Source organism: Homo sapiens, chromosome 4 (genome assembly GCF_000001405.40).
Source record: "Homo sapiens chromosome 4, GRCh38.p14 Primary Assembly".
Taxonomy (NCBI): domain Eukaryota; kingdom Metazoa; phylum Chordata; class Mammalia; order Primates; family Hominidae; genus Homo; species Homo sapiens.
Genome location: NC_000004.12, coordinates 157,825,417 through 157,845,986, shown reverse-complemented (window position 1 = coordinate 157,845,986; position 20,570 = coordinate 157,825,417). Strand labels below are relative to the sequence as shown.

Genomic DNA, 20,570 nt, shown 5'->3' with positions numbered 1-20,570 from the left:
AGTATTCCCTTTTCACTGCATCCACGCCAACATCTATCATTTTTTGATTTTTTTATTATGGCCATTCTTATAGGAGTGAGGTGGTATCGCATTGTGGTTTTGATTTGTCCATGATGTTGAGCATTTTTACATATGCTTGTTGGCCATTTGTATATCTTCTTTTGAGAATTCTTTCATGTTTTCCTCACAGAATGAGGGCAGAATTTGTTTTTGTTTTCTTTACATAAACACTCTTAGAATCTGGAATAGAGAGCCAAACAAATAGTAAGCATTTGCTATTTGGGAACAAGTGAATAAAATGCTTAATATATTGCTTCTCTTTGAAAGCATCATGAAGATAGTATTAAGAACCACAGATGTGTATTTTGGCCTAATGGAGAAGAATGGACAAACTCAATGGAGAATTGAGCTAAAGGTAGAAAGAAAGGATATGGGAAAAAAATGAAGATTTCTCAAAGGGAAAAAAGGTGAAGCAAAGGGATGAAAGCAAATCATACTAATTTGAAGATCATCAAATATGCATTACTAACAACTCCATGCCTAGCACCTCATGAGAAACTGCAGAGGATACTTGGAAAATCTAAGAAGTCTACAATATTGTTCCTGCAATTTAATATTCTGGATTAGAGAAGAAGGAACATTTATGTAAAGGGAGAAATGGAAAACATAGAAAAGCATGAGTTACCTGCCAGACAAGGTGGCTAATGCTAGTTATCCCAGCACTTTGGGAGGCTGAGGCTGGCGGATTGCCTGAGCTCAGGAGTTCAAGACCAGCCTGGGCAATATGGCGAAACCCAATCTCAACAAAATATAAAAAATAAAAAAATTAGCCAGGCATGGTGGCGAATGCTTGTAGTCCCAGCTACTTGGGAGGCTGAGATGGGAGGGTCCCCTGAGCCTGGAAGGTGGAGGTTGCAGTAAGCTGAGATTGCACCACTGCACTCCAGCCTGAGTGACAGAGTGAGACCCTGTCTCAAAACAAACAAAACAAAACAAACAAAACAAAAAACCCCAAACAAATATGAGTTATGCAGTTCTAACATTTCTGGAAATGTTCCCCTAAGAGCTTACATTGCTCTGAGTGAAAAATCTGAAGCCATGCTTTGGAGATAAGTTCTTCATAAGCAGAAATAATTGTTTAGGATTTGTTTCCTCAAGTTCATTCCTATAAACGTGATGAAACACTAATAATTTTTTAGATAAAAGTAGTCTAAGTTTCAATATCTAATAGCAGAATACCAGTTAATCCCTAATACTGACAAACTTTCAAATTATGCCTCTTCAATCACTTTTCTAATTAGTCGGAGGACATCTTGAAGCACTATGATCATTTAGATTTTAATTGTCAGACAGTGCTGTGTACAGTTACTCCATATGTTTCTACCAAAAAAATATGAACAATTATGCCAAGATAGCAACTATAGTTTTGATGATGGTGGCTAATTGGGTAACTGGGCATGATTCAGTCTACTGCTTATCCAGTCAGAAGATAATTATCACATTTGCCACTATCTCATATGCATATTTATTTTTCTTCTTTCCAAAAAATTTTAGTGTGTAATAAGCAAATAAGTAAATAAGGTTTCTGTCTCAAGGAGAAATACACATTACCATTCAACTCACTTAAAATATATTCAGACATTGTAACAACATGCTAAGTGGATACATACACACACACACACACACACACATACATACTAGAAGTTATACAGTGTCACAATAACAAGAGCAGGCATTTATTGAGCTCATAATGTGTTGGGAACTCTTATCAGGGCTTTACCTATAGTAACACTTTTAATCCTCACAACTACTTTATGAGATAGGTGTTCTGTTACTCCCATGTTGCATATAAGAGCAAATGACTTGTTCAAGTTTAAACGATGAATGAGAAACAAAGCCAGGATTTTCACCCAAGAATCTTGCCACCGAAGCTGTGTTTTTAACCATCAGACAATACTGCCTTGCTAGTGGGAACAATATGGGGCTTTGAGTCAGATCAGTTCAAATTTAGGATAAAATTTTAGTGCTGATTGGGACTTTGAGAATATTCCTCAATGTCTCTCAAACTTAGGATCTTCATCAGTAATAAATAAGTAAATCAATGGAAATCATTAAACCAATCTACAATAATAGCTATTGTAAAGGGTTGCCACATTGCTTAAAAATGATGTAACATATATAAAAGTATTTGGTAAACTTGTCAGAAATAATTTCCTCTTCCTGATATACCTGTTCTTAGTGTGCTTGCATATTGGTTATAATCATCTTTCTCCAAAAGGCCCAGTTGGGACCTGTCTTCCTGCCTTTCTGCCTGAACACCCACCCCATCCACCCATCCACCCCTCAACCCAGCAATGTTTTTCCCTTTGATTTATATTATTGGAAGTAATCTGTGGAACTGAAAATAATTCCCAAAGTCAAGATTTATAACACTGCTGCAAAATGACTAAGAAGCATTAGATTTGATAACCCTATAGTCAGATTACCATTTTTCCCAGTTACTACTGATTACTGTGGCTTACTACTCTCATTTTTAATCCTTAAATAGACATCATGCGATTAAAAATAGTACTAACAACTGTACATATTCTATAACATGTTCTGATTTGTTTCAATTAATGTTATATGTATTTCTCCTTATCATTAAATATTGTCCTCACTACCTACCAACCAACCAACCAACACAAACAAATAAATAAGCAAAAGCAAATCTGAAAAAAAAGTAGTAACAGCTCATCACACCACATTACTCAGGAGACCAGAAACTGAGGCTATTTCAGTAAGTCTAATATGAATAAAGACTGGCCTCTACAGGTTCCAGTTTAGTAGAAAGTAGCGTATCTCATATTTCCTATCATTTCCAGTCACATGTCTGAGGTTTGGATTATGTTTTTCCACACAGGTGGAGTCAGGGCTCCTATGTGGTGTGACTTAAGTTGTGACCAAGACATAGTTCTTGCCTTTTTATTGTTTTACTTACATTCTCACAGTGCTTATTTCCCTTTATCTCCTTAATAAATACTCAGGTATAGTTGTATTAACAGATAAGTTTCAACCTACAAATAGAATTAAATAAACTACCAGACAACTATGCCATGTTATGAGTTATTTTGGTGAGAAAACATGATTTCTTAATAGGTGGCTGATAACATGTACTCTAGTGAAAACCAGGAGATAGAATAAAGTGGATACTTTGGAGCCCAAGTTACTGTATGGTGAGAGGAGATCATTGACATAGGACAGTGAGAATAATGGGTTACTGAGGGCAATGGAATAACGGGTTAAAAAGGGAAGTTGTTAAATATATGTCTGAGTTTGCTCCTGGACTTACTATTTTGTTACAATTTATTTTTGTATTTTTTTTCCCCAATATCACATGGTCAGAATACCATAGGGTAAAATAAGCCCTGAACTTAGGTAATTCGAGTCCTCTAACAGATAACTTATTTTGTCAATTATATGTTCAGGTGTTTTGCCTGCTTTTTACTCTGCCTTTGTCTTTTTATTGTTGATTTGTGTTAGTTATATATATTCTGGACAAAAATCTTTTGTTGGATGCTCCAATTGCAAACTTTTTTTCCCACTCCTTGGATTGCTTATTCATTTGTAAATGACGTCTTCAGATAAGGAGACTATTTTTTTCTGATCAAGTCAATGTATCAATTTTGTTATTTTCTACTGAGTACTGTTGTGTCTATTGAGAAATCTTTGCCTTTCTTAATGGCTTGAAGATATTCTCCTGTTATTCTTTTAGAAGCCTTATAGTTTTAGCTTCTGCATTTGGACCTATGACCTATCTTGAATCAGGCATTTACTGAAGAGAAGTGAAAATCCATATCAACATAGAATATTTAACAAGAAATTTCGTAGCAACCTTATTCATTATGGTCCCACAATGGAAGCAAATCAAATTACTGTTAGGTTGGTGCAAAAGTAATTGTGGTTTTTGCCATTACTTTCAAGAAGCAACCGAAAAACAAATTTTATTACTATATTCATAGAACGGAATATTGCTCCACCAATAAAAAAGTGAGTCATTGATACACTCAACAACTAGATGACTCTCATAAACATTAATTTGCACAAAATAAGCCAAACACAAAAGAATACATTTACATGATTCTATTTATTTGAAGTCTAAGAACAAAGAATTATTTGAGGGCAATAGAAATCAGCAAGTGGTTAACTCTGGGGCAGGTTCTTGTTTACCTGTAATGAGAAAGAGGGAAATTTCTGGGATGATAAAAATGTTCCATATTTTGTTTTGGATGGTGGTTACATGGTGCATACAATTGTCAATATCTGTCAAAATGAAAACTTCAAATCTGTACATTTTATTTTGTATTCCTTGTAAATAAATAATTTTAAAATACAGTAGTAGATGGACATTACAAGGAATAACAGCATTTTATCAACAGCAAACCAAAAGTCAGTAGTCATTTCCTAAATAATATCAATAGTGCCCCCTTGGAGTTGTACTGTCCACAAACTCTGTCTGTGCTCCGCAGCCATGGTAGCATACAAGTACGTAATTAGAGCAACATTACTGTGACTTGGTGTAATATACAAGTAGCCATTTAACAACAGCCAATATTTTTGATGTTTACTTTGTTTTAAATGCTTTGCAGATATTATTTCAATTAATTGATCATTAGACGCCAGCAGTGAATGTCATACTAACTGAGCACGTTGCTTTCTTTTTCCCCTGTTAAAGAGGTTAGTAATGTTAGCCCATGACTTTAAAAAGGGTAAAAGTCATCAAAAGCCAACACATATATGGGAAGATGGTAAAGAAGAAAGCGTAGGGGAGCAGAGATCACCAGAGATCATCCCCGTTTAAGCTCTCATGTGGGCTCTTTGGCTGTATCTAGAAACTAAATTGTCACCAGGCAGATTAACAAGAGGAAAGTATAGTTTTACATGTACGTGGAGTGAAGTCCAAAGAAGTGGCCAAAGCAAGATGCTTTTATAAGTTTTAGACAAAGAATGACAAATTTGAGAAGAAATGGCCCTAGGGGGAGCAAATTTTCTAGGGGAGTCAGGAAACATATGTGGGATATAAAGCTAGCAGAAAATAAGGGCCACTTGGTTAAGTATATTTATTCAGAGATATTGCAGCCCTCAATTCCCAGTCTCTGGTGATAAGGGCTATTTTCTCTTCCTGGTACTGTGAGTGTACTCCTTCCAGAGGAATCTTTAGGCTTGCTACATGTTGGAAGAGAGAGGTCAGCTAACCCTTTCTGAAACTACAATTTCTTCAATGTTTCAACTTGAAATAATCAATATAACAATCTGGCAAATTTTGAGATGTACATTCTTCACTCTTTCAAAAAGTATCCCTAGGAGATTAAAATACTACTGTTAGATTGTTTTAATACCCAGAACTCACTCTAGGCCAAAGTCTCCATAAAGAAGTGTATTTTCAGCATCCCATGAACAACTTCTATTATTTTCTGTAAAAATAAAATCACTTGCACAACTATCTGAAATACTACACTTCACTTTACCTGGGGACTTACCTTTTCCTAAGTGTCTGAGCTTTTTTGTGTGTTCAGTGCATGCTTGCTATGTTTCTGTGCAGATTGCTTGTGGTAAATCACTTATGTTTCACCATAAGCTTCTGTGTTAAGTACACTTATTTCTTCATTTAATGTAAGATGGAAATGAGACACAAATGGTAAGTAACTTCCTGAAGCCACACAGCTTATAAATAAAAGATCTGGCCTTAGAATCAATGTGGTTTGATGTCAGAGCCTGCACTTTGATCACTATACACTGTGACTTTATGCCCCTTCATTATTATGCTATTTGCCTCTAAAACATATGGACTTAATATGCGAATCACTCCTTATTACACTTTCATTTCTTTAAAAATGCACTCTGTCTTAATCCACAGGAATAAAAGTGCCACTCAGACAAGAATCTGCTAGTGGAGGAGGTGTTTTTATTCATTATCTAATCCCTTTCCTACAAATTATTCGTAGGCAGCCATTTTCTCCAACCATTAATTTAACAAGTATAGACTAAGCACTTACTCTGTGCTAGAAACCTAAATGGACTCTGAGAGCTCAAATGCTACCTAAGTACACTCCTAGAAAATAGTATCAAATTTCAGAAGGGTGATAAATATTTCCTAATACTCCTTTGATAGTGAAGATGGTGATTTCCTGGAAACAATTCAATTTTGCCTTAAAAATTGATGCAGCCAGTTCCACATTCCCCCAGTTAAAATTCCAAGCCATGAAGACTGCAAAACAGTCATCTACTTAGAATGAAAGTGAAATAAAAAGATCCAAGTACTTTCTGCATCTATTCTTGTGTCAGTTTCCTATTGCTGCTCTAGTAAATTACCACAAATTTACTGGCTTAAAACAACTCAGATTTTACAATTTGAAATGCAAACATCTGAAATGGCTCTCACAGAGCTAAAATGAAGGCACTGGCAGAGCTGTATTTCTTTTCTTCTGGAGACTACCAGGGAGAACCTCTTCCCTTGCTTTTTCCAGCTTCTAGAGGCTGCCTGGACCCTTGGCTCATGACCTCTTCCCCATTTAAAAGCCAACAGCAACATATTCAAATCTCCTTCGGACTCTGACCATCTTGTTTCCTTTTTATTTGTAAGGACTCCTGTGAATACAATGGAGTCACTGGGATAATTCCAGATAATCGTCCCATCTCAAAACACTTAATTTTATCAGTTCTGCAAAGTCTCTTTTTTATTTTTTCCATGTACAGGAACATAGTCATAGATTCTGGATGTTAGGACAAGGGTATCTTGGGGAGGGAGACATTTTCTGCTTACCACATTTGTGAAAATTGTCTTACGGTTATGTATTCCATAAAAAATTCTCTCTTTTGAGAATGTAATTTTCCATAAAATTATATATTTAATAGACAGGATATGTATTATTTTTTAAAGTAAATTACTTTTTAAATTTTCCCAATATCGTGTCATAAAGAACACCCTGAAAGCATTCTTAATTGGTACAGAAATTACTTCCAGAATGTATAAATAATAGACATGTATTTTTAATACCCTCTCTTCTTTCTCTTCCTCTCCCTCTCCACCTCCCCCGTCTCCCTCTTTGTTTCTCTCTCTTTTCCTCCCATCCCATCTCTCTTACACACACACGTATACCCACACAACTAAATTTCCTCTGCTTCTTACTAACAGCAAATGCACAACTATAAGGAAAATATCTGGTTCAGAAAATATATTTTTTTGCTTGGTATTAAATAGAAAGTGCTCATACAAGGAGAAACATATTTAACATGTCCGAGGGATTGCTTGAAGGGTGTGAAACATCCTTCCCAGGAGAAATAATCTCCTGGCTTAAACCAAATTGATGGCAGGAATTTGATGGGTTGGCTTACTCCTCTATTGCCTTTAGGACATAATGCAATGTGCTGGACTTGGCAGATGAGTCAGAAAGCAGTAGTTCACATAGAACTTGCTTCTGAGAGGCAGGAAAAAAATCCCTCTCTAACGGGTGCTTTGAAAGAGTTCCCTGAGCTATAACCTTGGTGGATGTTGGATTCAGGATCATTAACCACCCAAGATAAAAACAGTACATGGGAGGCAGTGTTCTCTGCATGTGTGGGTTGCAAATGGAACTAGTTGTTTACAATAGCTGCGGTTAAATGAGAACAAAGTTAAGTAGTGATTAGTCAACTATGCAACGCTCTGTCTTGCAAAGTACAACAAAGAAAATAACATCAATTTTCAAATTGGAAAATTATTCAAATTACACATATATACAATTCTCACGCCTGTAATCCCAGCACTTTGGGAGGCCGAGGCGGTAGGATCAGGAGGTCAGGAGTTCGAGACCAGCCTGGCCAACATGGTGAAACCCCATCTCTACTAAAAATACAAAAATTAGCCAGGCATGGTGGCGGGCACCTGTGATCCTAGCTACTCAGGAGGCTGAGGCAGGAGAATCGCTTGAACCTGGGAGGCAGAGGTTGCAGGGAGCCGAGATCATGCCATTGCACTCCAGCCTGGGCGATAAGAGCAAAACTCTGTCACACACACACACACACACACAAAAAAATTGCAGGTGAATTACTTAGAGTGATGAACAGAGAAAAGGAGAGGATTAGATTTCTGAATCTACTACTTAGTAGCTGGGTGACCTTGCACAAATAACTTAACCTCAGAGTGTTTCAGAGTGTCTACTTTTAAAGTGGGAATAAAATAATTTGCCTAGCCTACAATTCAATGTTATGAAGATTACTGTATACCTGAAAGAATACAAGAGAAATCACTTGATATGCTCTCAAGTAAAACAATTCAATACCAGCTTTGAAAACACACCAGTTTATTAGTTATTGCCAAGTAACAATTCGAGGTATGAACTAAGTAGTAACAAATGAAGGTGCATACTTTTAATCTTTTTCGTGTTGTTCAGCTTTACTATAGTCAGTATCCATTTACAGATGCAATCCAATGAGTTATGGCAGATGTATACACTTGTAAATCTACCGTTTCAGTCAACACAAAGAACATTTCCATTGCCACTGCTTAACAGCATCACAATAGATTAGTTTGAAATGTTTAGAATTGTATATCAATGGAATCATAAATTATATACTCATTGTGTCTATCTCCTTTTACTCTGTATAAAGTTTCTGAATTGTTTCATATGACAAAATGAATGTATCAGTGGTTTGTTTCTTTTAGTAGCTGAGCAGTATTTCATGGCATTGCATATTGTATTATGCTTGCTCATTACCTTTTGATCAACATTTGAATTGCTTTCAGTTTGGGACTATTACAAATAAAATTGCTAAAGACATTTTCATGAAAGTCTTTGTGTGGACAGAAGGTTTTTATTTCTTATGTAAATAGGAATGAAATTATTGGGTCATATGTAAATACATGTTTCCCTTTATGAGGAATTGCCAAAATATTTTGCAAAGTGATTTTACAATTTCACTTCCCGATCTGCAATGTAGTTGTTCCATATAATTGGCAACATTCATGCTTATGATTTTAAATTGTAACCATTTGAATATGTATGCAGTTGCATGTCATTAAGGTTTTACTTTACCTTGACGCTTTTGTCAACATCCAATTGACCATATGTGTGTGTGTTTATTTCTGAACTTTCAGTTTTGTTCTATTAATCTGTGTCTATCCCTTTGCTAAGTTTATCCTACTATGATTGCTTTAGCTTTATACTCAGTTTTAAAATAAGGTAAGGTGATTTTTTCCCCCATTGTTTTTCCTTCTAAAGATTGCTTTGGCTATTTTAGGTCATTTGCATTTCTGTAACTTTTATAATCAGATTGCCAAATTTTACAAAAACACTTGCTGGAATATTCATTAGATTTGTGTTACATCTACAGATTAATTTGGGGGTAAATTGACAACTTAACTATACTGAGTTTTTTGAATCATGATCATGCTTTACCTCTCCACTTACTTACATGCTTTTTTACTTCTTTTAGCAAAATTGTTTCGTTTGGCAAGTATTTTGTTAAAATACCTCTAATGTTTTTGAATGCTATTTTAAGCTGAAATGAGTTTTTTACTACATTTACAATTTTATTTTGCTATCATATAAAAATTTTTGTATCTTGTACTCTACGGCCTTGCTATATTCATTTATTATTTCTATTACCTCTTTCATAGGTTTCAGGGGGTGTTCTAGAAAAAAAAAATCATGCCATTTTTGAATAAAAGACTATTTTACCTCTTCCTTCCAATTTTAAGTTTTTTTTCTTTTAATTAAGGCTTTTTGCTTGTCTAATTGCATTGACTGAGATTTCCAGTGCAATGCTGAACATTGGGGGAAAGTGCAGACACAGTAGCCTTGTTTCCAATTCTAAGTAGAAAGCATTAACTTTTCCATTATTAAGTATGATGTTAGCTGTAATGTTTCTGTTTCCTTAATGATGTTGAGGAAAATTATTCTCTGTATAATTTATTCTGATATTTTATTGTGAATAATGACTTTTGTCATTCTTTTAATATTTATTTAGATTACTATATGCTTTTACTCCTGCTTTATTTGGTAATCTGAGTGAATTACATTGCTTGATTTTTATAAATGTGTTAAACCAACGTGGCATACCTGAGATAAACCTGGCATCATCATTGTATCTTATGCCTTTTATATACAACTAAATTCTATTTGCTAATTAACTTAAAAAAATCTTTGTATGTGTACTCCAGCAGGATATTGGCCCATAGTTTTCCTGCTTATAATATCATTTCTTTTCTATCAGACATAAATAGAGAGATAAATATTTATAGAAATAGAAATAAGCCAGGATTGGTATTTTATCATAAAATTACCACATTACAAAAAAATTTCTATGCCTTTCTCACTAGATTTTTATGGATCTCAAGAGTAGGATTCTTTTATCCCATAACTTAGTCGAATGACTTAAATTTGGCAGATTAAATTATTTCTTGGTAAATATAAAATTTTACCTCTCCCATGGAAAGAGTGTACCTCTTGCTCATTGATGTTGGGTTTGGTCATGTAATTTGCTTTGACCGATGGAATGTGGGAGGAAATGATAGGGCTGTGTGCCAGATTTAAGACTAAGCCTAAAAGAAATCATTTTTTGTTTCTGCTTGTTCCTTGAATGTTTCCAATCTTTGCGTTAGGAGAAGAACATGTCTCAGAGAGCTCCTACTCCTCCAGTTTTGGCCCCAGAATGAAACACAGGAAGAAGACCTGAATTTGATTTGCATTTCAAAGTAGAACTGTCCCAGCTGACATGAAGACTGATGAATAAGGAATAAGTATTTATTGTTGTATGTCACTGATATTTCTGTGGTCGATTATGTGTAGAAGAGCTGACTTGTACACTTACATAAACTTGAAGAAGACTGAATTTAGAAATGGAGTTTCTGCATATGGTTATGTCTGAGTAGCTCCAAGTGGATCATCCCTCCCACAGATAACAACTCTAAACTCTGGACAAAATATAAAAATAACAATTTCCTGAATATCAAAGAGCAACCCAAATCATGCAGATACTGGGTAAGTTTTATAGGAAATTTTTTATAGCTTAAGACTATGCAGCAGTCAGTATCATATGGCATGACTAAAACCTACATAGGGAGAAATGGTGTAGAGTATGAAAAGCAACTACCACAGCTAAAAGGTGAGGAGGAATATCCAAGAAGGAGAGAGCTAAAGAGAGGCTCCTGGTTTTTGTGGATACATGCCACCCAAATCTATGGTTCATCCCTGAACCAGAGTATGCACAGTAAATTTTATTACAATTTCACCTAGGAATAAAATAATTGAACTGAAATTTCATAGTTGAGGGTTTGAGAATGGCTAAGTTAACTACTTGCTATTATCAAAAATCAATACTCTTCAAAGAACATAAAGGAATCCAGAGTCTCTAAAACATATAATTCATAAAGTCCTAGATAGAACACATGAAAAAAATCACAATCTCACATGGAAACTGGAAAATATGATCCAATATCAAGAGAAAATGTAATCATTGGAGACTGACCCAGATATTGGAATAAGCAGATAAGAATATTAAAGCAGCCATATAACTAATGATTCCCAGGTACATGAAGTAAAATATGCTAATAATACATTAAAAATAGGAAACCTCAGTAAAGAAATAAAATCTTTTTAAAAGAACCAATGAAGGCCGGGCGCGGTGGCTCACGCCTGTAATCCCAGCACTTTGGGAGGCCGAGGCGGGTGGATCATGAGGTCAGGAGATCGAGACCATCCTGGCTAACAAGGTGAAACCCCGTCTCTACTAAAAATACAAAAAATTAGCCGGGCGCGGTGGCGGGTGCCTGTAGTCCCAGCTACTCGGGAGGCTGAGGCAGGAGAATGGCGTGAACCCGGGAAGCGGAGCTTGCAGTGAGCCGAGATTGCGCCACTGCAGTCCGCAGTCCGGCCTGGGCGACAGAGCGAGACTCCGTCTCAAAAAAAAAAAAAAAAAAAAAAAAGAACCAGTGAAAATTCTACAGCGAAAAGTATGATATCTGAATACATGCAAACACACACAGAGACTAGATTTATCAGCAAATGGGAAAGGAGAAAAAGTGACAGTGAAATTGAGTTGACGATAGGTGAAACTTCAATTTACTATTGAAGTGAAATTTAACAAGAGGCAAAATATTCAAGAAGTATGACAAGAACTTAAGAGACTGGTAGGACAGTATCATGAGCCTTATTACCATTGTGTAATTAGAATTCCAGAAAAAGAAAACAGAGTGAGCAGAAAAAAAATTAAGAAATAATAGTTGAAAAATTCTGTTATTGGTGAAAGACATAAACATTTGTATTTAAAAAGTTCAGAAAACTTCAAGTAGGGTAATAGTAGAAAAAACCCACATCATATTTAACTGACTGAAAACCAAATATAAGGATAAAATTGTGGAAACAACCATAGAAATGATTTATTACACTCACAGGAACAATAATTTGAAATTTCATTGACTTTGCATAAGAAACATTAGAGACCAGAAGGTAGTAGAAAATAACTTTAAAATGCTGAAACTAAAGAACGATTATCCTGGAATACTGTATCTAGCAAAAATATATTTCAAGAATGAAGACACAATGTCAGCACTTTCTGGCCAAAAAAAAAAAAAAAAAAAAACTAAGAAATTTATCACTAGCAGACCTACACTAAAGAAATAGAAAAGGAAATAATTTAGACTAAAGGAGGGTTATAAGAGATGGAAACCTGGAATTTAGGGAAAGAATAAAGAACATTCAAAATAATTATTTGAGAGGCTTATGCAAAAACAACAATAAAAGCAATGAATAACTGAGATAAAGAGTCTAGTAAAGGGTTCAATCTTGAATGTAATGATGAATGATATTTCCTTAAATGAGAAAATAAGATATGTAAAAATAAAAACAAACACAGATTCTAATTTAAAGTAAAAATAGAGCTTTCAAAACAGATACAGCTGATGATTCTCATTATTCATGGTTGTCATGTTTTCTAAGGTCACTGCAAACACTGAATTAGTAATTAGGGAACAACTGCTCCTAAGGGAAACACAGGTTTAGGTTCCTGCAAGTGTCTGGTCGAAACATTTCATCAAACAATCAATATTTAACCTTGTTTTATGTTTATTTCTGTTTAAAGACACATTATTTAAGATATATTTCATGTGAATAATTGTATGGTTTTGAATGAGTTAACTGTCAGGGACTTTGAGACCATTTGCCAAAGGTTCATTTGCCAAAGACCTTGTAAAACAAACCAGTCTTATCAGTGTTGACAGGCTCCTATTCCACATAACTCCTTTACAGGTAGCAGGGAATTAAAAAGAAAAAAAATTCTGCAGCCTCCTGATCTGCAAAATTACCTCACCTGCAAGTTCAACATATTTTATGCCTAGCCCAAAAGAGTTTAATATTTTCCAGGCCCTAGATAACGTAAGTTTTTTTGCACTTCCTCCCCACAACAATGCTTTTCACCATGCTTTCTAAAAAAATCTATTTTCGGCCAGGCATGGTGGCTCATGCCTGTAATCCCAGCATTTTGGGAGGCTGAGGCGAGTGGATCACTTGAGGTTGGGAGTTTGAGACAAGCCTGACCAACATGGAGAAACTCTGTCTCTACTAAAAATACAAAATTAGCTGGACGTGGTGGCACATGCCTGTAATCCCAGCTACTCGAGAGGCTGAGGCAGAAGAATTGCTTGAACCTGGGAAGCGGGGGGTGTGGCCATTGCACTCCAGCCTGGGCAACAAGAGCAAAACTCCATCTCAAAATAATAATAATAATAAAATAAAAAAATATATTTTTATCTCACGAATCCAGAAATTTATTTTCTTTTTCATCTTTCTCATAGCATTATCAGACACCAGTTCTATTGGATCAGGGTTCCACCCTTATGTTCTCATTTTACCTTAATAACCTCCATAAAGGTCCTGTCTCTAACACAGTCACATGGTGGAGAGTAGGGGTGGTTAGGCCTTCAACATATGAATTTTGGAGTAGTACAATTCAGGCCGTAGCACGGTGCTTTGGCGCTATGTTTGAGAACCATTTTAAATAGCAAAATTACCAACATATAAAAAGGACAGTAGATTACAATATGAGAGCTGAAATAAGAAGACAGCACATCACTTTGTTAGACTGCAGTTGAGAACGTCAGAATGTGTGTGACTCAAAAATGTGCTGCTCTCCACACCTACAGAAAAAACTGTGAAAGCACCATGTATATTGATTTGGTGCTAAAATTACAAATACATTTTAGCAAGTAGGCAAATTTTCCATTGTAGAATCCACACATAATGAGGAGGGTCAACTGTATGTGTATTTGCTTCTTAGAAACCTCTCTCCTTTTTGACAAATCTAGGTGGTAGAACATTTTATAATCTGAATCAGTGAGGAAAAACAAGGTGGATTATTTAGATAAATTCATGGTTAATGGCATAGGTATAATATTCTGGTTCATTCTTTACTTTCATTATAAAAGGAGGAATGAAAATAGTAATAATTACAGCTAATACTTGTTGAGTTTGTGTTTGGCATAAACCACTCCTCTAAGTGCTTGACCCTCAATCAGCACAAAAACTCCATAAGGTGGGTACTGTCATGTTTATTTTACACATCAGGAAACTGTGGTGCAGAAAGTTTTGGTAACATTACATTAAAAAAATTATGTCAGAATATTTTTCTCTGTCAGCCATGACAGAGATAGTCCCTAGTATGTGCTGTTCTACTTCTTCATCATTTTAAAATTAAATGTAACTATCCCCTTTTTGAATATATGGTTAGCATCCCAAAATAAGAAAGAAGGGGAAAAAGCACATGTTATACAAACACATGTGTAATATTCACTTATGCATATGAACCAGCATATTAAGATCCATGTTTAATTGCTTATTTTATGATACAGTTTGGTAAGCCCCTCTCTGTTTTCCAGAAATTTTAACCAAATATGTTTGTATGAAGAATATCAGGGGGAAATTAGAAAAGGAAGAATGTGCTGCAACTCCAATTTAGCATAGATACAGAACATACATGGATGGGCTTAAGGATTCAATGAGAATAGAAAATTTAAGCTAGGGAAAATCCTGAAAAGTCCAGAAAATCTTGTGATGAAATGGGTTTCTGGTCAATGCCTAGACTGGTTATTATTAATAAATATCACATCATACTGGGCATATCACTATTTTTATTTTTTTTCTTTTTCCATAGGTTATTGGGGGTACTGGTTGTGTTTGGTTACATGAGGAAGTTCTTTAGTGCTTATTTGTGAGATTTTGGTGCACCTATCACCTGAGCAGTATACACTGCACCTTATTTGTAGTCTTTTATTCCTCACCCCCTTTCATTCCTCCCACGAAGTCCCCAAAGTTCATTGTATCATTCTTGTGCCTTTTTGTCCTCATAGCTTAGCTCCCACATATCAGTGAGAACATACAATGTTTGGTTTTTCATTCCTGAGTTACTTCACTTAAAGTAATAGTCTCCAGTCTCATTTAGGTCACTGCCTAATGACCTAAATTAATTCATTAATTCATTCCTTTTTATGGCTGAGTAATATTCCACTATATATATATACACATATATATATATGTATATATATGTGTATATATATGTGTATATATGTATACATATATATATGTGTATATATACATATATATATGTATACATATATATATACATATATATATATATGTATACATATATATATACACCAGTTTCTTTATCCACTCATTGATTGATGGGCATTTGGGTTGGTTCCATGATTTTGCATTTGCGAATTGTGCTGCTATAAACGTGTGTGCAAGTGTCATTTTCATATAATGACTTCTTTTCCTCTGGGTAGATACCCAGTAGTGGGATTGCTGGATCAAATGGTATTTCTACTTTTAGTTCTTTAAGGAATCTGCCACTGTTTTCCATAGTGGTTGTGCTAGTTGACATTCCTACCAGCAGTATAGAAGTGTTCCCTTTTCACCGCATCCATGCGAACATCTACTGTTTTTTAATTTTTTGGATTATGGCTATTCTTGCAGGAGTAAAGTGGTATTGCATTGTGGTTTTGATTTGTGTTTCCCTGATCATTAGTGATGTTGAGCATTTTTTCATGTGTTTGTTGGTCATTTGTATATCTTCTTTTGAGAATTGTCTATTCACGTCCTAGTCCACTTTTTGATGGGATTGTTTCTTTTTTTCTTGCTGATTTGTTTGAGTTCATTGTAGATTCTGGATATTAGTCCTTTTTCAGGTGTATAGATTGTGAAGATTTTCTCCCACTCTGTGGGTTTCTGTTTTCTCTGCTGACTGTTCTTTTTGCCGTCTCTTTTTACTTTAAGTCCCAGCTATTTATCTTTGTTTCTATTGCATTTACTTTTGGGTTCTTGGTCATGAAATACTTGTCTAAGCCAGTGTCTGGAAGGGTTTTTCCAATGTTATCTTCAGATTTTTTTTTTTCTGTTTCAGGTCTTAGATTTAAGTCCTTAATCTATCCTGAGTTGATTTTTGTATCAAGTGATGATCCGGTTTCATTCTCCTACATGTAGCTAACCAGTTATCCCAGCACCATTTGTTGAAAAGGGTGTTTTATCCCCACTTTATGCTTTTGTTTGCTTTGTGAAAGATCAGTTGGCTATATTTGGGTTTATTTCTGGGTTCTCTGTTCTGTTCCATTGGTCTGTGCGCCTGTTTTTATACCAGTACCATGCTGTTTTGGTGACTATGGCCTTATATTATAGGTTGAAATCAGGTAACATGATGCTTCCACAATTGTTCTTTTTTGCTTAGTCTTGCTTTTGCTATGTGGGCTCTTTTTTGGTTCCATATGAATTTTAGGATTGTTTTTTTCTAATTCTGTGAAGGATGATGGTGGTATTTTGATGGGAATTGCATTGAACAATATGGTCATTTTCACAATATTGATTCTACCCATCCATGAGCATGGGATGTTTCCATTTGTTCGTGCCATCTATGATTTCTTTCAGCAGTGTTTTGTAGTTTTCCTTGTAGAGATCTTTCACCTCCTTGGTTAGGTATATTCATAAGTATTTATTTTTTTGCAGCTATTTTAAAAGAGGTTGAGTTCTTGATTTGATTCTCTTCATAGTCATTGTTGGTGTATAGAAGAGCTACTGATTTGCGTACATTAATATTGTATCTGGAAACTTTGCTGAATTCTTTTATCAGTTCTAGGAGCTTTCCAGAGGAGTCTTTAGGGTTTTCAAGGTAAACGATTATTGTCAGCAAACAGTGACAGTTTGAATTCCTCTTTACCAGTTTGGATACCCTTTATTTCTTTCTCTTGTCTGATTGCTCTGTCTAGGACATCCAGTACTATGCTGAAGAGGAGTGGTGCGAGTGGGCGTCCTTGTCTTGTTCCAGTTCTAAGAGGGAATGCTTTCAACTTTTCCCCATTCAGTATTATGTTGGCTGTGGGTTCGTCATAGATGGCTTTTATTGCATTAAGGTATGTCCCTTGTATGCCAATTTTGCTGAGAGTTTTAATCATAAAGCCATGCTGGATTTTGTCAAATGCTTTTTCTGCATCTATTGAGATGATCATGTGATTTTTGTTTTTAATTGTTTATGTGGTATATCACATTTATTCACTTGTGTATGTTAAACCATCTCTGGATTCCTGGTATGAAACCGACTTGATCATGGTGGATTATCTTTTTGATTTGTTGTTGGATTTGGTTAGCTAGTGTTTTGTTAAGGATTTTAGCATCCATGTTCATCAGGACTATTGATCTGTAGTTTTCTTTTTTGGTTATGTCCTTTCCTGGTTTTGGTATTAGGGTGATGCTGGCTTCACAGAATGAATTAGGGAGGGTTCCCTCTCTATCTTATGGAATAGTGTCAATAGCATTGGTACCAATTCTTCTTTGAATGTCTGGTAGAATTCTGTGAATCCGTCTGGTCTTGGACTTTTTTTCATTGGTAATTTTTTAACTACCATTTCAATCTTGCTGCTTGTTATTGGTCACTGAGGGTATCTAATTCTTCCTGATTTAAACTAGAAGGGTAGTATTTTTCCAGGAATTTATCCATTTCTTCTAGGTTTTCTAGTTTATGCACATAAAGGTGTTCATAGTCACCTTGAATGATCTTTTGTATTTCTGTGGTGTTGGTTGTAATATTTCCCATTTTGTTTCTAATTGAGCTTATTTGGATTTTCTCTCTTCTTTTCTTGGTTAATCTGGCCAATGGTCTATCAGTTTTATTTACCTTTTCAAAGAACCAGCTTTTTGTTTCATTTATCTTTTGTATTTTTTTGTTTGTTTCAATTTCATTTAGTTCTGCTCTGGTCTTGGTTATTTCCTTTCTTCTGCTGGGTTTGTGTTTGGTTTGTTCTTGCTTCTCTAGTTCCATGAGGTGTGACCTTAAAGTGTCAGTTTCTGCTCTTTCAATCTTTTTGATGTAGGTGTTTAGGGCTATGAACTTTCCTGTTAGCACCACCTTTGCTGTATCCAAGAGGTTTTGATAGGTTGTGTCACTGTTGTTGTTCAATTCAAAGAATTTTTTAAATTTCCATCTTGATTTTGTTTTTTACCCAATGATCATTCAGGAGCAGGTTGTTTAATTTCCATGTATTTGCATGGTATTGAAGGTTCCTTTTAGAGTTGATTTCCAGTTTTATTCCACTGTGGTCTGAGAGAGTGCTTGATATAATTTCAATTTTCTTAAATTTATTCAGGCTCATTTTGTGGCCTATCATATCATCTATCTTGGAGGAAGTTCCATGCACTGTTGAATAGAAGTGTATTCTGTGGTTGTTGAATGAAATGTTCTGTATATATCTAAGTTCATTTGTTCCGAGGTATAATTTAAATCCACTGTTTCTTTGTTGACTTTCTGTCTTGATGACCTGTCTAGTGCTGTCAGTGTAGTATTGAAGTCCTCCACTATTATTATATTGCTGTCTATCTCATTTTTTAAAATTTGTTAAGATTTGTTAGGTCTGTTAGTACTTGTTTTATAAATTTGGGAGCTCCAGTGTTAGGTGCATATATGTTTAGGATTCTGATATTTTCCTGTTGGACAAGGCCTTTTACCATTATATAATGTCCCTCTTTGTCTTTTTTCACTGCTGTTGCTTGAAAGTTTGTTTTGTCTGATGTAAGAATAGCTACTCCTGCTCACTTTTGGTGTACATTTGCATGAAATGCCTTTTACACTCTTTTACTTTAAGTTTATGTGAGTCCGTATGTGTTAGATGAGTCTCTTGAAGGCAGCAGATAGTTAGTTTGTGAATTCTCATCCATTCTGAAGTTCTGTATCTTTTAAGTGGAGCATTTAAGCCATTTACAGTCAATGTTAGTTTTGAGATGGGAGGTACCATTCCATTCATCATGCTATTTGTTGCCTGTGTACCTTGGTTTTTGTTTTTTCTTGTTTTTTAAATTGTGTTTTTGTTTTATTGGTCCTGTGGGATTCATGCTTTAAAGAGGTTCTGTTTTGATGTGTTTCCAGGATTTCTTTCAACATTCAGAGCTTTTTTTTTTTTTTGATGGAGTCTTTCACTGTTGCCCAGGCTGGAGTGCAGTGGCACGATCTTGGCTCACTGCAAGCTCCGCCTCCCGGGTTCATGCCATTCTCCTGCCTCAGCCTCCCAAGTAGCTGGGACTACAGGCGCCCACCACCACACCCGGCTAATTTTTTTTGTATTTTTAGTAGAGACAGGGTTTCATCATGTTAGCCAGGATGGTCTTGATCTCCTGACCTTGTGATCCGCCCGCCTTGGCCTCCCAAAGTGCTGGGATTACAGGCATGAGCTACTGCGCCTGGCTGGTTTAGATCTTTTTTAAGAAGTTCTTGTAGTGGAGGCTTGGTAATGGTGAATGTCTTAGTTTTTGTTTATCTGAAAAACACTGTATCTTTTCTTTATATATGATGCTTAGTTTCACTAAATACAAAATTCTTGGCTGGTAATTGTTTTGTTTTAGGAGGCTGAAGATAGGGCCTCAATCTCTTCTAGCTTGTAGGGTTTCTGCTGAGAAAACTGATGTTATACTGATAGGTTTTCCTTTATAGGTTACCTTGCGTTTTTGTCTCACAGCTCTTAGGATTCTTTCCTTCATCTTAATTTTAGATAACCTGATGACAATGTGCCTAGGTGATGATCTTTTTTGTGATGAATTTCCCAGGTGTTTTTTGTGCTTCTTGTATTTTGATGTCTAGGTCTCTAGCAAGGCCAGGGAAGTTTTCCTCGATTATTCCCCCTAATATGTTTTCCAAACTTTTAGATTCTCTACTTCCTCAGGAACACTGATTATTCTTAAGCTTGGTCATTTAACAAAATCCCAGACTTCTTGGAGGCTTTGTTCATATTTTCTTATTCTTTTTTCTTTGTCTTTGTTGGATTGGGTTAACTCAAAGAGCTTGTCTTCATGCTCTGAATTTCTTTCTTCTACTTGTTCAATTCTATTGCTGAGACTTTCCAGAGCATTTTGCATTTTGATAAGTGTGTTCATTATTTCCTGAAGTTATGATATTTTTTATTTATGCTATCTATTTCCTTGAATATTTCTCCCTTTGATTCTTGTATCTTTTTTGGATTTCTTTGCATTGAGCTTCACCTTTCTCTGGTACCTCCCTGATTAGCTTAATAACTAACCTGC

The 20,570-nt window shown here is 35.4% G+C and overlaps 1 long non-coding RNA gene across 1 annotated transcript in view; it reads left to right on the top strand.

The window, feature by feature from the left end:
• Positions 1-20,570, top strand: part of LOC105377509 (uncharacterized) — a 227,163-nt gene that overhangs the window by 184,606 nt on the left and 21,987 nt on the right. The window contains exon 4 of the long non-coding RNA XR_007058347.1: positions 10,622-11,000. This is a non-coding gene — a long non-coding RNA (uncharacterized LOC105377509). The remainder of the gene's footprint in view (positions 1-10,621; positions 11,001-20,570) is intronic.